This window comes from Homo sapiens, chromosome 5, assembly GCF_000001405.40.
Source record: "Homo sapiens chromosome 5, GRCh38.p14 Primary Assembly".
Classification (NCBI taxonomy): Eukaryota; Metazoa; Chordata; class Mammalia; order Primates; family Hominidae; genus Homo; species Homo sapiens.
The window spans coordinates 111,512,849-111,525,988 of record NC_000005.10 but is presented as its reverse complement, the minus strand read 5'-3'; the positions used below and the strand labels follow the sequence as shown (position 1 = coordinate 111,525,988).

Here is a 13,140-nt window from a genome sequence, read left to right as displayed (position 1 = left end):
TGCAGGGAAAATGCTTCCACAACCAGCAGGATGCAGAAAATGCTTTTCAAGAGTTCATTGAATCCTGAAGCACGGATTTCTATACTACAGTAATGAAAAAATGTATTTCTCATTGGCAAAAATGTGTGGATTGTAATGGTTCCTATTCTGATTAATAAAGATGTGTTTAAGCCTCGTTATAATGATTTAAAATTCAATTACTTTTGCACCAAACTAAGACAGGAACTTTGAGATCTCTAATCTTATTACACTTTTCCGTATTATTCTCTTACAATGTTTAAAATCAAAACATATTTGGTCATTTGACCTAGAGAAAGAGAATTCATCATGTCTTCTTGCGAATAACTCCCTGAGAGGACACAGCCCATACCTTGTCTCCTGCAGCGCCGCATAGTGCCTGGAGCATGTTAGGAGCTTGTTGGGTGTGTTCAATGAGTGGAGCAGACCTACATCTAGGCCTTCCAGGTCCTATCTTTCATTACCCATTCATTTCTCTTTGGAGTTCTCTTACCTACAACTCTCACCTTACAATTTTTCAATGTCAAGACCTATGAAATGTTCATTATTATAGGCATTTGCATAATTTATCTCTTATTTTAGCATCTTATTCAGTTCTTTGTTCATATTTCTAAAAGTAAAATCTGCCGTCTCATTTTAAAGTCTCTTCTGAGCACCTACCTGAAAGTGTTTGCCTCGGCCAGGTCATCACAGTCACAGTGAGAGAAAGAATAGATGCCTGACTTCATTGTTCTTGGGAGCCTCCATCGAATGGCCATGTCCAACTCACTAGACTTAGCACCAAATTTCCTCACAAACCCAAAGAAAAATAGGAGGCACACTGTCAGTTTCTTGATTGCTCATACAATGTCAAAAACCCAATACTATCACTAATCTAAATAAGAGGATTATTTATAAATAAATAAGAAGTTTATTTGGATTAGTGATAATAGGTCCAGTTTCCATTTTCCTTGGGGTCTTCAGGATTTTTTCTAGGAGACCGGCTACATAACTACCTCAGGCACAAACTCAGTTCCATAGAAGCTGTCTAAGACTGTTTGTGCTGCTATGAAAGAATATCTGAGACTGAGTAATATATAAAAAACAAAAACTTATTTTCTCACAGTTCTGGAGGACAGAAAGTCCAAGATCAAGGAGCTGCAGGTTCAGCTGTCTTTTAAGAGCTTCTCACTGCTTGCAAGTTGGCACTTTGATGCTGCATCCTCTGGGGGAGTTGAATGCTGTGCCCTCACATGGTAGAAGGGACACAAGAGCAGAAAAAAATAAAAGTCCTTTGTCAAATCCTTTTTATATGGGCACCCAATACCACACATGAGGGGAGGAGCCCTTATGACCTAATTACATCTCTAAGCCCTCACCTTTTAATAGCATCAATTGGTAACACCTGTATTTTGGAAAAACTCAAACCATAGCAGAAGTCAAGAAGCATTGATTTTAAATTTATTAATTGATGGATTCTTTCTCACTCCTTAAGTCCCATCTGCAACTTTTATCATCTTAAGCTGTTTAAATCCCTTTTATGCCATGTGTGTGTAATAATATTGGCAATGACTACCCCTCCAAATCCTACCTAAAGATTTTAAGATACTAAAAACTTCTCCACTTCTGCCTTGGTACTCATTAGCTAATTCCCTGAAGTGAAGACATTGAAGGCATTTATACTATATGTTGCAAATTTCTGCTTAGCATTATGTTTTCAGCAAAAAGAAAAAAAAAAGAAAACCTCTCTTGATAAAGTATAGCTTTTTTATTTCTGACAGAATAAATAGCATTCTATTTTCGATCTTTTTATTAAACATTTACTGGTTTAGTGACCGTGGGAAAGTTATTTAAACTCTCTAAACAGTACTGCATTGAAGCTGAAGCCAGCTCGTGAGAACCAATTGCTAAGTATTCAAGAGACTTGCCTAAAAGTTGTATGACCTTTGCGGGTTTGAAAGTGGTGTTGGTGGGAGTATGCACCAGAGGTGGGGGCAAGTGCTACAAATAAGGGCACTTTTTTTCCCAGAGAGCTGCTTTACCAGCTTACTACCATCGCTAAGCCTTATTCCCTCCTCCACAAAATGAGAATAATAATTTCAACCTGTATTAGATATGTCACATTGCAGAAAACAGTCTTTCTGCTAGTTTAAGTAGAAAGGCAATTTTCTAGAGGGTCTTAAATGTCCTATAGAATTTCAGGGAAGACTGATGAAATAGGCTATAGATACAGCTCTCTAAAATAAATGTGACAGTCATACCATAAAACTGGGCCACCATGGACATACTGCCTGTTATATGTTCAGGAAGCCGCCTGCCTATTTTGGAAGCTGCTGCTATGGTTGCCAGTTCTAGACCTACTTTGCCTCTACCATGATCAGGAAAGCCTCCTTGATCAAGAAGCCACCACAAAACAGAGATCTCCACACTGCCTCAGTCTATGCCTCACCTTCAAATATTTCAAAAGAGCATCTGATTGGTAGAAACTAAGTCACAACAAGAACTGTAGCTGCATGGGAGGCTCAGAAATACAGTCTTTATTTGGAGTGGCCTTGTGTCCGGATAAAATTCAGGAATTCTATGGGTACAGATTAGACAAAAGGGCGAGAACAGTTATTAAAAGATATCTAGCAGTCTCTGCCATAGATAGCCCTTTCCTATCTCCAATACCGTTGAATGCCTTTTTTCTCCAGAGAAAAATTCATACCCCGTCCAAGAGACACGACCCCAAAGTCCCATTCAAAGACTGAATTGAGCCCAAAAGAAAGAATCTCTGAGTGACAAAAAGTCCTCACCATGAGGTCCAGGCCTCAAGCAATCCTCTCACCTCAGCCTCCCAAAGCACCGGGATTACCGATGAGGGCCACCATGCCTGGCTGAGACAGGGTCTTTACAGAGGAAATAAAGTTAAAATGAAGTCATTCAGGTGAGCCCTAATCCATATGACTGGCAGTGTCCTTATAAAAAAGGGAAACTTGGGGCATGCTGCAGTGGCTCATGCCTGTAATCCCAACACTTTGGGAGGCCAAGGTGGGAAGATCATGAGGTCAGGAGATTGGGACCATCCTAGCCAACGTGGTGAAACCCTGTCTCTACTAAAAATACAAAATTAGTTGGGCAGGGTAGCGGGTGCCTGTAATCCCAGCTACTTGGGAGGCTGAGGCAGGAGAATCACTTGAACCCGGGAGGTGGAGGTTGCACTGAGCCGAGATTGCACCACTGCACGCCAGTCTGGCGACAGAGCGAGATTCCGTCACACACACACACACACACACAAAGGAAACTTGGATACAGGAATGGCACACAGGGAGAATGTCATGTGAAGATGAAAGCAGATGTCGGGGTAATGTGACCGACAAGTTAAGGAATGCCAAAGGTTGCCAGCAAACCACCAGAAGCTTGGGGGAGGCATGAAACAGACTCTCTTATAGCCATCAGAAGGAGCTAGCCTTGCAGACACCTTGATCTTAGACTTCTAACCTCTATAACTTTGAGATAATAAATTTCTCCTGTTTAAAGCACCCAGTTTTTCGTATTTTGCTATGGCAACCCTAGCAAGCTAATATAGGCTTGTATTCATAATGCCCTAAAATCAGGAACTTCAATGGTAGGGCAACATGCTTTATTTGACCTATATTCATTGTGTACCCAAAATGCTTTGGAGATATGCTTGTAAATTGTTGGAGTCACAGTGCTCCTTCAGAGCACCCTCATTATTGCTTCAGTGTGGAAGTGCAGACAATTGACTTTTTCAACACTGTGTAGAGGCACCAAATTATCAGACTCATAAATCTTTTAGATTCTTGACCACAGGTTGAAATTCCCTGCCTCAGGTTTAAATTCTCTGTCCTTTCCTTAGCAGAGATCTATATTCCCTTTATTGTCCTTGAAGCCTGGCTAGATCTAGATATAGTTCAACTCTCTCTTGCAAAACGTTGCTGAAAGTAGCAGAAGCAACCAATTGACATCAATTGAATTTTTCCAGTGATCTAGCCTATAGCTACAGACTTGATAAGCATGTAATCGCCTTTCCAAGTTAGCTTAGGCAGGAATTTGTTCAATACCCTGCCACTGAATAACTATGGTCTCTAGTTTTCCAGACTGCTATGCTTGTTCTTACCATCTACTGCCTGGACTGCTAAGACAATGAAATGTGCATTAATATATTTTAGGGCAGCACCCTACTTCTAAATTCTCAGTTTTGTGTTGTTCAGTGTTCATTTGTAGAGAACAGAATCCAGTCTAGCTAGTTTAATCAGAAAAGGATTTAGTACAGGTTTTGTTATGGCTTAGAGAGTTGGCTGGAGGGCTAAAGAAACACTCCAAGAATGCTTTGAGAACAATACAACAGAGTTGGGCCACCAATGCAGGTGTTCTTATAGATACTGGAAAACTGCCATGATCACAACTCAATTTTGAGTCAGGACAGGGGATGGGGACAGAGAGACCCAGAGTGGAACTGCGGAAGAAATAGAAGCATGACTTCTACCTTGCACATCCCTCATGTGCGCATCTGATGAGCAGAATCTAAGTCAATCCAGAGCTGTATCTGTAAGAGTATCTGGACAATGTCTGTCATTCTGGACAGTAATGTCCAGAATCAAGGGTTCTATTTCCATGAGACAAAGGGGAAAGGAGATATTGAAGAACAAGTGGTCAGATTGTGAATGTAAATATTTGAAGTTTGTTTTGGCACAGAGTGGGCCCTTAACAATTGACAGACTTATGGAAGTATAAGACACGTGTCCTCCTTAGGAGAAAAAAATCAGAAATATAAGATCAGGTATGTAAAAGAAATCTATGTCACAATCGGAAATACAAGATCAGATACAAAGAACTCAATCACTTTGACCTTTTGCTCATTTTGGTGGAACACAACGTCCTCTGAGCTAGAATATTTGCAAATGTAACCTTATGTTTAACAAAGTTCATTCTCTGGAGCAACTGACTTTATAAAATAAAAATGCTGGCCCAATTGAATTCTCTTATACCTTGTTCTTTCTCAAGTGGTTTCACCATCCCATGCTTTCTAATACCCTTGATCCAAACAGATAAGAGCTCTCAGATGTATACCAAGCCTGGTTTTATCTGTTTAAATTTAAATCCTAAATCTAGATTTGTAAAATATATTTTAGAGCAGAGGTAAGCAACGTTTTTCTAGAAAGGGTCAGGTAGCAGTATTTTCAGCTTTGCAGGTCATACAGTGTCTGTTGCAGTTTCTCAGCCATGACATTGTAGCATAAAAGCTGTCATAGAGAGTGCGTGTGTGGATAAGTGTACTTACATCCCCAAAACACTCTTTACAACAAAGGTTGGGGGTGCTAATTTGGCACATAGACTGTGGTGTGCTTGCATGAAATAAATTTTAAAAAACCTCATCAGAGGTACCTTGCTGATCTCTTAAAAAGTGGACTCCAGTTGGGTCTTTTTCTTCCCTGCTATGGAGTCCATTCTTTCAAACACTGTACTTAGTTTAGCTCTGGTATTTGAAACAACTTTCTTCTGCTCGGTTTCACTTTAAAATCACATATCAATGTTCTTTGGACCATTTGGGAACTGAAACACAACATGAAATTTTGGAAACTTAGATAACCCCATCTTCATAATGGAGACATCAAGTTGCTACTAACTGTCTCAGATACACATGAAGCAGCCCAGTGTTTTTCTGTCAGCCTCAACTGTGGGCTGGATTCATCCATTGGCTTCTGACATTCTTTTCAATACCATGAGAACCTGTGAACTCACATGGCCTCTCACATCCAATTGGAAGTCCCAGGTAGCCCTAGTCTAGTTTATCCTATTGCTGCCCTGTCCTGACAGATTCTGTACTGAGAGGGAGAATAGAATAGTGAATAAGAGTACAGGAATCACACCTGACTTCTGCCACTCATTTGCTGTATGAACTTAAGGTAAGTACTTAAGCTTTCTAAGCTTTAATTTCCTAAGATGCAAGATAGGGATCATGATAGTGCCTACTTAGAGCAATGCCTGGACTATATATCAAGCACGTGATACATGTTATCTGTAATGGAGGATTTGGCGTCAGTTGTTTATATAATTTATGAGGATTATAATATTGTTAATTGGCTTTCATTGAAATACTTTGATATATATGAATTAAATATATATATTTATTCATATATATAAATATATATATGAAGTAAATTTTGAATTGTTTGCTTGTTTTTGTTTCGGTTTATTTGTTTTAATTATGATCTCATAACATGAATATTTTCTATACATCGGTATAGTGTGTTTTACTATTTAGTTGCCCTAAGTTTTCTTAAAAGTATGCTTCTTTTTTTAAACAATTGAGCATATGTGTTAAACAACAGAACAGATAGCACAAAAGAGTACACAAAAATGTGAGTGAAAACATAAGTTCCATGGATATTTTAGTATTTGATCCACTGATTTTTTTTTTTTTTTTTTGAGACTGAATCTTGCTCTGTCACCCAGGCTGGAGTACAGTGGCGTCTTCGTGGCTCACTGCAACCTCCACCTCCCTGGTTCAAGCAATTCCCCTGCTTCAGCCTCCCAAGTAGCTGGGATTACAGGTGCATGCCACCATGCCCAGCTAATTTTTTTATATTTTTAGTAGAGACAGGGTTTAACTATGTTGGCCAGACTGGTCTTGAACTACTGACCTCAGGCAACCTGCCCGCCTTGGCCTCCCAAAGTGCTGGGATTACAAGCATGAGCCATCACACCTGGCTGATCCACTGATTCTTAATGGTTGCCTAGCCTATGTATAAATGGCTATACCCAAAAAGTTGCTCCAGGCAGGTGCAGGAGCTGCCGAGGAATGTGGAAACCTTGTCTTCTCATACCCACAGATGAAAAATTTCAGGTTCTCCTTCCTGTATTAACTGCTGCTAGGATGTCTCCTCCCCAAACCCCACCTCCTCCCTCTTTTCAGCTGATCCCAGGACATTCCTAGATAAAACTAAGGAAGAAAATGTTGAACAGGGCAGGCTGACAGTTCCCTGCCAGAAATAGTCCAGGGAGCGAAACTCACTTAACCAACTGGGTCATCTGGTCATTGGCGAATTTATTCCCTTGCTAGAGCAGCTGTGATGTACTCATTTGCCAAACCTGGGTCTTGAGCTTAGCCCTGGAGTAGGAGAGCAGTCAGTGTATCTAAATCACTGAGAATTGTAGTTGGAAAAGTAGTGGTTCCTGAAAGCAAACTGAAGTACAACTAACAGAATAAAGGGGATAGGATCTTGGACTTCTGAAAACAACTGTCCTCTACAGATTCCTGCACTTCCTCCCCAGCACACCAGCAGCATCCTCACTCTCTGGCCTGCCTGCTGGAAATGTAATAAAGCTGCTTAAGAACAAGAGGGCCGGGCGCGGTGGCTCACACCTGTAATCCCAGCACTTTGGGAGGCTGAGGCAAGCAGATCACCTGAGGTCAGGAGTTCGAGACCAGCCTGGTCGATGTGGTGAAACCATGCCTCTATTAAAAACACAAAAAATTAGCCAGGCGTGGTTCCAGGTGCCTGTAGTCCCAGCTACTCAGGAGCCTGAGGCAGGAGAATTGCTTGAACCCAGGAGGCGGAGGCTGCAGTGAGCCGAGATCAGGCCACTGCCCTCCAGCCTGAGTGGCAGAGTAAAACTCCATCTCAAAAACAAAAAACAAAAAACAAACAGAAACAAAAAACAACAGCAGCAAAAACAAAACAAAACAAAAAACAAGAGAAGGGACCACAATGGCTGTAGTGGAATTGGATCAAGGAGAAAAACTGGGCACTTTTACAGAACCTAAGGGCAAATATAAATTGGGATGACATCTTTTCAAGTTCTCAGGCCCAAATTCCTTTCTCAATTTGCTAGGGGAAATCCCAACCAGGTCAATTTCATGTTGGCCCTAACGTTATGCTATTTGGGAAAATCCGTTTTTCTCTGCTCTCACACCACAGCAATTAGCACAGAAGACTTCTGTGACCACATGTGGGGACTTTTCCCACACACCAAGCAGTAGACACCAGCTGGTGTCCTTTAATTCAATTTGGACACTATCTACCTGGAAATAACTTCAGATCCCACAGGGTGAGGGCTCAGTCACCAAAACTGTCCTCTGCTTCCCCCTGTTTCCCCCTGGACACCAGTTTCAAGTCCCAGCCTCAGGAACTTCTGACCTACTGGCTTCAAGTTGGGTTTCCTACAACCCCGTCTTTAGGGTTGATTAATTTACTAGAGTAGCTCACAGAATTCAGATAAACACTTACGTTTACCTGTTTAGTATGAAGAATATTAGAAAGGATACAGGTGAAGAGATGCATAGGGAGAGGTATGAAGGAAGGGGTGCAAAGGTCCCATGCCATCCCTGGGTGCACCACCCTCCAGGAACCTCCATGTGTTTAGCTATTTTGGAAGCTCTCTAAACCCTGTCTTTTTGGGTTTTTATGGAGCCTTTATTACATAGGCATGATTGACAACCATGTAGAAATGTGACTGGACAAAAAGGGTATGATGTCACACTGAGTGGGGAAAACTAGCAAGACCTGTCTCTTCAGATTCTTCTTGAACCTGAAGAAGGACCCTCTCTAGAATGAGGTTCTTTGTACCCACAATCAGTTTGTAGTCTCACCTTGAACAGGTAAAAGGAGGCCAGGAGATCAGAGAGAGAGAGAGATTGTTTCCTGGGGCCTGTTCCTGAGGCCTAAAGCACCCCAACATTATAACAAAAGACTGTAACAAAGGCTAAGGGAATTACGAGGCAGGAACTGTGGATGAAAATCAATATATATATTAAGTCATAATATCACATACGGCTAATAAGAATTTTTAGTCCCTTCTATAATTTTCTTCAAGATACTATTTTTGAGTTTGGACAGTAAATTGCCCCTCTTTGCTTGTTGATGGGTGGGATATCACCTCTGGGTCTCTGGTTTCCGGAAGCCTTTGGTACCCAAGGAGAAGAAGGCAGGATATGGATTCTGGCTGAATCCAAATTTCCTTTCCAGTACCAAAATCCAGTCACTGAAATGTATTAGCTTTGCTTAGGTGTGTCTTTTGTCCTCAAGCAAAACTCTTACTGATGTGTCATGTATCTCTGTTCTATTTGGCTTCTCAAAAGCATATTCACTAGTCTAACATTAAAGTTAAGTACTATTTCAAAAAATAAAGATTCTTCACTTTTCATTCTAACCCTGTGTCCAGCTATAAATCATCTATTTAGTCTTTGGCCTCTGAAGTCTGGAGACATATTTCCTCTACAGCTGATGCCATCCTTCTTTTTATTAGGGACAGTGACAGACTCATTTTTTTTTTCCTTTTGATCATTTTGCAAAGCTTCAGTGGTTAACATACTTCAAGCCCTTCCTGGTTCAGATATATAGGTGTTCACTTCAATTGTTTCCCTTTTCCAAGGATCAAAACCTTGTGTTGCCAGTTTCTCAATGTCTGAAACCATTTTTTTCATAAATTTAGTTGAGGAGGTAGGAGAACAAGTCTGACACCAGTTACCACCTCACAGCAAGATACATTACTAAGATTTTCAAGTGTCTTATTCGGATATCAGAGTAATGCAAAATACTCAATTTATGAAAAAAATAGATTTTTAAAACTTATGGTCTAAAAGCAGTTTTAATAGAAACAGAACGACTAGTTTCTTTGGGAGTTGAAAATTATCATGTGAAATCCTCTGGTCCTTTTCTTAGTCATAGTTTTTCCCTAATATTCTCATAGTTTTTATTTTTACAAGTTTATTAGACTTCTTAACTCAAAATTCTTCTTGTATCAATTTTGGTGATTTGTGTTTCCTTGGAAGTAGTATCCATTTCACCTGGATTTAATTTGTTAGTTCACAAAGACTTACTATTTTAATTTACTCTTTAATTATGATTTCTTCCCCTTTCTTAGTCATAATTACTTGACTTTTTTTTCCTCTGCCATTTCCTCTTCTCTATTAGACTGTTTATTTACCTATTTTATTATAGTCAAACCAATCCCCAACAGGGGAAAAAAATCATGTGATGTATTTTTTTAAATTTAGAGTTCCAGGATACATGTGCAGGATGTTCAGGTTTGTTGCATAGGTAAACATGCGCCATGGTGCTTTGCTGCATCTATCAGCCCACATGTGATGTAGTTTTAAAATTAATTCTACTGTTTCTTTGCTTTCCATTTTTCCCAATTTTTTGTTTGTATATTTCTTAATTCATTCTTTCTGATGTTTTTCTCTAACTTCTTGGTTGATTCTTTTTCTTTTTAATTGAGGTACAATTTACAATGAAGTGCACACAATTTAAATGTACAGTTCAATGAATTTGTACAGTCTTAGTTCTTGGTGGCTAAGTTCTGGCTTCAATCATTTTGAGGCTTAGCTGTAAGTCAAGGCTTTGTGCTCTATAATAGTGCTTCTCAAGTTTTTTTTTTGTTTTTTTTTGTTTTTTTTTGAGACAGGGTCTCTCTCTGTCACCCAAGTAGCTGGGACTGCAGGCATACACCAACCACGCCTGGCTAAGTTTTGTATTTTTATTAGAGAGGGGGTTTCACCATGTTGCCCAGACTGGTCTGGGCACTTCAAGTGATCTACCTGCCTTGGCCTCCCAAAATTCTGGGATTACAGGCGTAAGTCACCACGCCTGGCCTCAATATTTAATGTGCATAAAACCATCCAGATGTCGTTTAAAAATGTAGATTCTGATTCAGTAGGTTGGGGCCTGAGATTCTGCAATTCTGTTAAGCGCCCAGGTGATACCAATGCTGCTGGTCTGTGGCCCCGACTTTCAGTATCAAATTTTTATAAGACATTTCTATATCCTTTTAACACATTTTTTTTAGCTTAATTCAGGTTGAGTTTCTTCTATTAGCAAATAAATAGCTCTCTGTTAAGATACACTATACCCACAGTCCTTGGTACAGGTAGCAAACAACTAATAAATATTTGTTGAATTAAATTAAGGCTATGAATTTTCCTGAATTGAAATTTGTTCTGTTCTCTGGCTTTGATATATAGTGTTTTGATTTTTATTATTAATATTAATATTTTAAAATATTTTTATTAATATTCTTCAGCATGTAATGTTTGATTTTTCTCTTAAACCAATGTGTTTGGGGACAGATTTTTAGAAATTTTCAAGTAGTTGGGGATATTTGTGAGCGTGTTTTTGCTTTGCTTACTTCTAGATTTATTGCCCAGGTTAGAAATTGTGGATATATTATTTCTGTGTTTTGGAATTTTTAATGTTTTTCTTCTTGAAAATTCTTTCTTTAGATGTGTTACTATATTCAGTCAGATTATAGTCAGGACTTGGCAGGGCAGTTGTTTTGTCTCTTTAGGTTAAGTTTCCATTTAGCTGATCAAATTCATTATATGCCTCTTTTATATTTGAATTCTAGATGGAGACCTTATTTTCCCATTTTCAAACTATTTGTAGGGGAGATCTATCTGTTGTGTTACATACTACAGTTCTCTCATGTGTATAATGAAAATAGTAATAGTACATGCCTATTTTCAGGCATTGCTGTAAAATGTAAAATGCTTAGCACTGTGTTTGGACCATACTAAACCCTCAAAAATAGCTCCAGATGATGTATTTGTATATGTATTTCTGAATCTGAAGCTTTGCTGTTAGTAGCATTCCACTTTGATAGAGTGGCTTCCAATTACCCAAACTTCATTCTAACCAAGAAAAATGGCAACAGATGAAGAACAAAAGCAAAAGAAACAAAAACCTCCCAGAAACTGGCTGGAAGATAAGAAATCCCATGGGGGCATAAGTGTGATGTAATGACTCCCGCCGTCCAAAAAAAAAAAGCCAAGTTAATTTTGTTTTAAACATGTTTTACACCATCCTGCAAGAGAATATATAGACTGTTGAGCAAAGTATCCAGAACTGAATCCTAATAATGACAGATACAACTTTTTTACTTTTTTGAAATAGATACGTGGATTTATTCCTCTCCACCATTAAACCTGTGTAAACCCTCACAGTAGGAATTAGGCCTTTCATTTATGGTCCCAGTGGTCTTCACAGGTGCCTTGACAAAGAGCTACCAAGCACCATCTGAATTTTATGGAGACTAAGAGCCCAGTTTCAGAGTCCAGCAGACCTCAGCCAAATTCCAGTTTCTCCACTCAGTAATTAAGCAACCTGCCTTAAGATTTATGTCTGGGGCTCCTCGCCTGTAAAACACACCTACCTTAGGGGGCTGTTAAGAGGATTCAATGTAATTGAATTAAGTAGGTACAACTTAATTACAAAGCACTTTTCCCCAACCATTTCAAATTATTTATCTACGTATTCATCCATCCATCCAAAGCACCTCAATAATTGGCCAATAATTCCTAAGTGAAAGGAGCTTTACAACACACGAAGAACTCTTCTATTATGTCACACGAAATTATAAATATAAATATAAAACAAATTATTTTACATATAAACGATGGAGGTAAAAAATAAATCGGCCAATAATAACTAGCAAGTAGTATTTGGTAATTCTTTTGGTGAGGCCGACTTAAAAATTTACGAAATATTATTTATTTTCATTGCAAGTCTATCAGAAATCACTAATGGTGTAGCACTGCATTCTTCCCTGCTTTTGGTTCTCAAACTACGTATCTTAGTAAACGCAATTTGCAGACAAACCAAGCCTCGCTAATCAGTGCATCATGGCTACTCTGGTAAAGGAAGAAATTCACTGTTTGCCAAGCATCCCATCAGATGGGTGACTTCACAGCCACTGGAAGAAATCTTTCTCATGTTCGAGTAGATGGAAACTCCAAAACTGTGCAGTTGCTAAATCCACTTGTCACACCTCCTCCTTTTCTCTGCTTCTAAGGTTGCCCTCTAAACTCTTTATCTGAGGATGGAAACACACACACGCACCCACACACACCCACACCCACACACACACAAACGTATTTGGCTAAAGGTCAATTCACATAGTGGCAGGGACTTTCGTTTATATGCATTTTCCTTCCCAGCTCTCTCAGTTCTGAGTCAGGCTAAGCAGGAGGCAGAGAGCTCGTCCTCCTCTGCATGGGCGCTTTTTCTTATTTGACTTTTAGTCCTGGGAGGAGTAGCGTAGTTGCGAGATACTAGGATATCCACAAGCGGGATGAATTTGGACCTTATCCCTCACTGTGATCCTTCACTTCGCCTTCTGTTTCAATTTCTCCCAGTCGGT

General features: G+C 39.5%; 2 long non-coding RNA genes across 3 annotated transcripts in view, besides 2 other annotated features; both read right to left on the bottom strand.

The window, feature by feature from the left end:
* The window catches only part of STARD4-AS1 (STARD4 antisense RNA 1), a 227,501-nt gene that overhangs the window by 213,738 nt on the left and 623 nt on the right, over positions 1-13,140 (bottom strand). The gene's annotated exons all lie outside the window — the stretch shown is intronic.
* Positions 173-10,404, bottom strand: LOC105369177 (uncharacterized). Of its 2 annotated transcripts, XR_948671.3 has the most exons (4): positions 8,238-10,404; positions 7,016-7,111; positions 1,122-1,245; positions 173-807 (listed from the first exon to the last, which is right to left on the bottom strand). It is a non-coding gene; the product is annotated as an uncharacterized LOC105369177 (long non-coding RNA). The 2 variants fall into 2 exon arrangements; XR_001742458.2 differs by lacking the exon at positions 8,238-10,404 and having other exon boundaries at positions 7,016-7,399.
* Positions 7,803-8,022: an enhancer, noted in NCBI's record as "active region_22901". NCBI's record gives its function as "activates an Ori minimal core promoter by ATAC-STARR-seq in GM12878 lymphoblastoid cells {active_cell/tissue: GM12878}" and the evidence as "EXISTENCE:reporter gene assay evidence [ECO:0000049][PMID:35858748]".
* Positions 12,990-13,129: an enhancer, noted in NCBI's record as "active region_22900". NCBI's record gives its function as "activates an Ori minimal core promoter by ATAC-STARR-seq in GM12878 lymphoblastoid cells {active_cell/tissue: GM12878}" and the evidence as "EXISTENCE:reporter gene assay evidence [ECO:0000049][PMID:35858748]".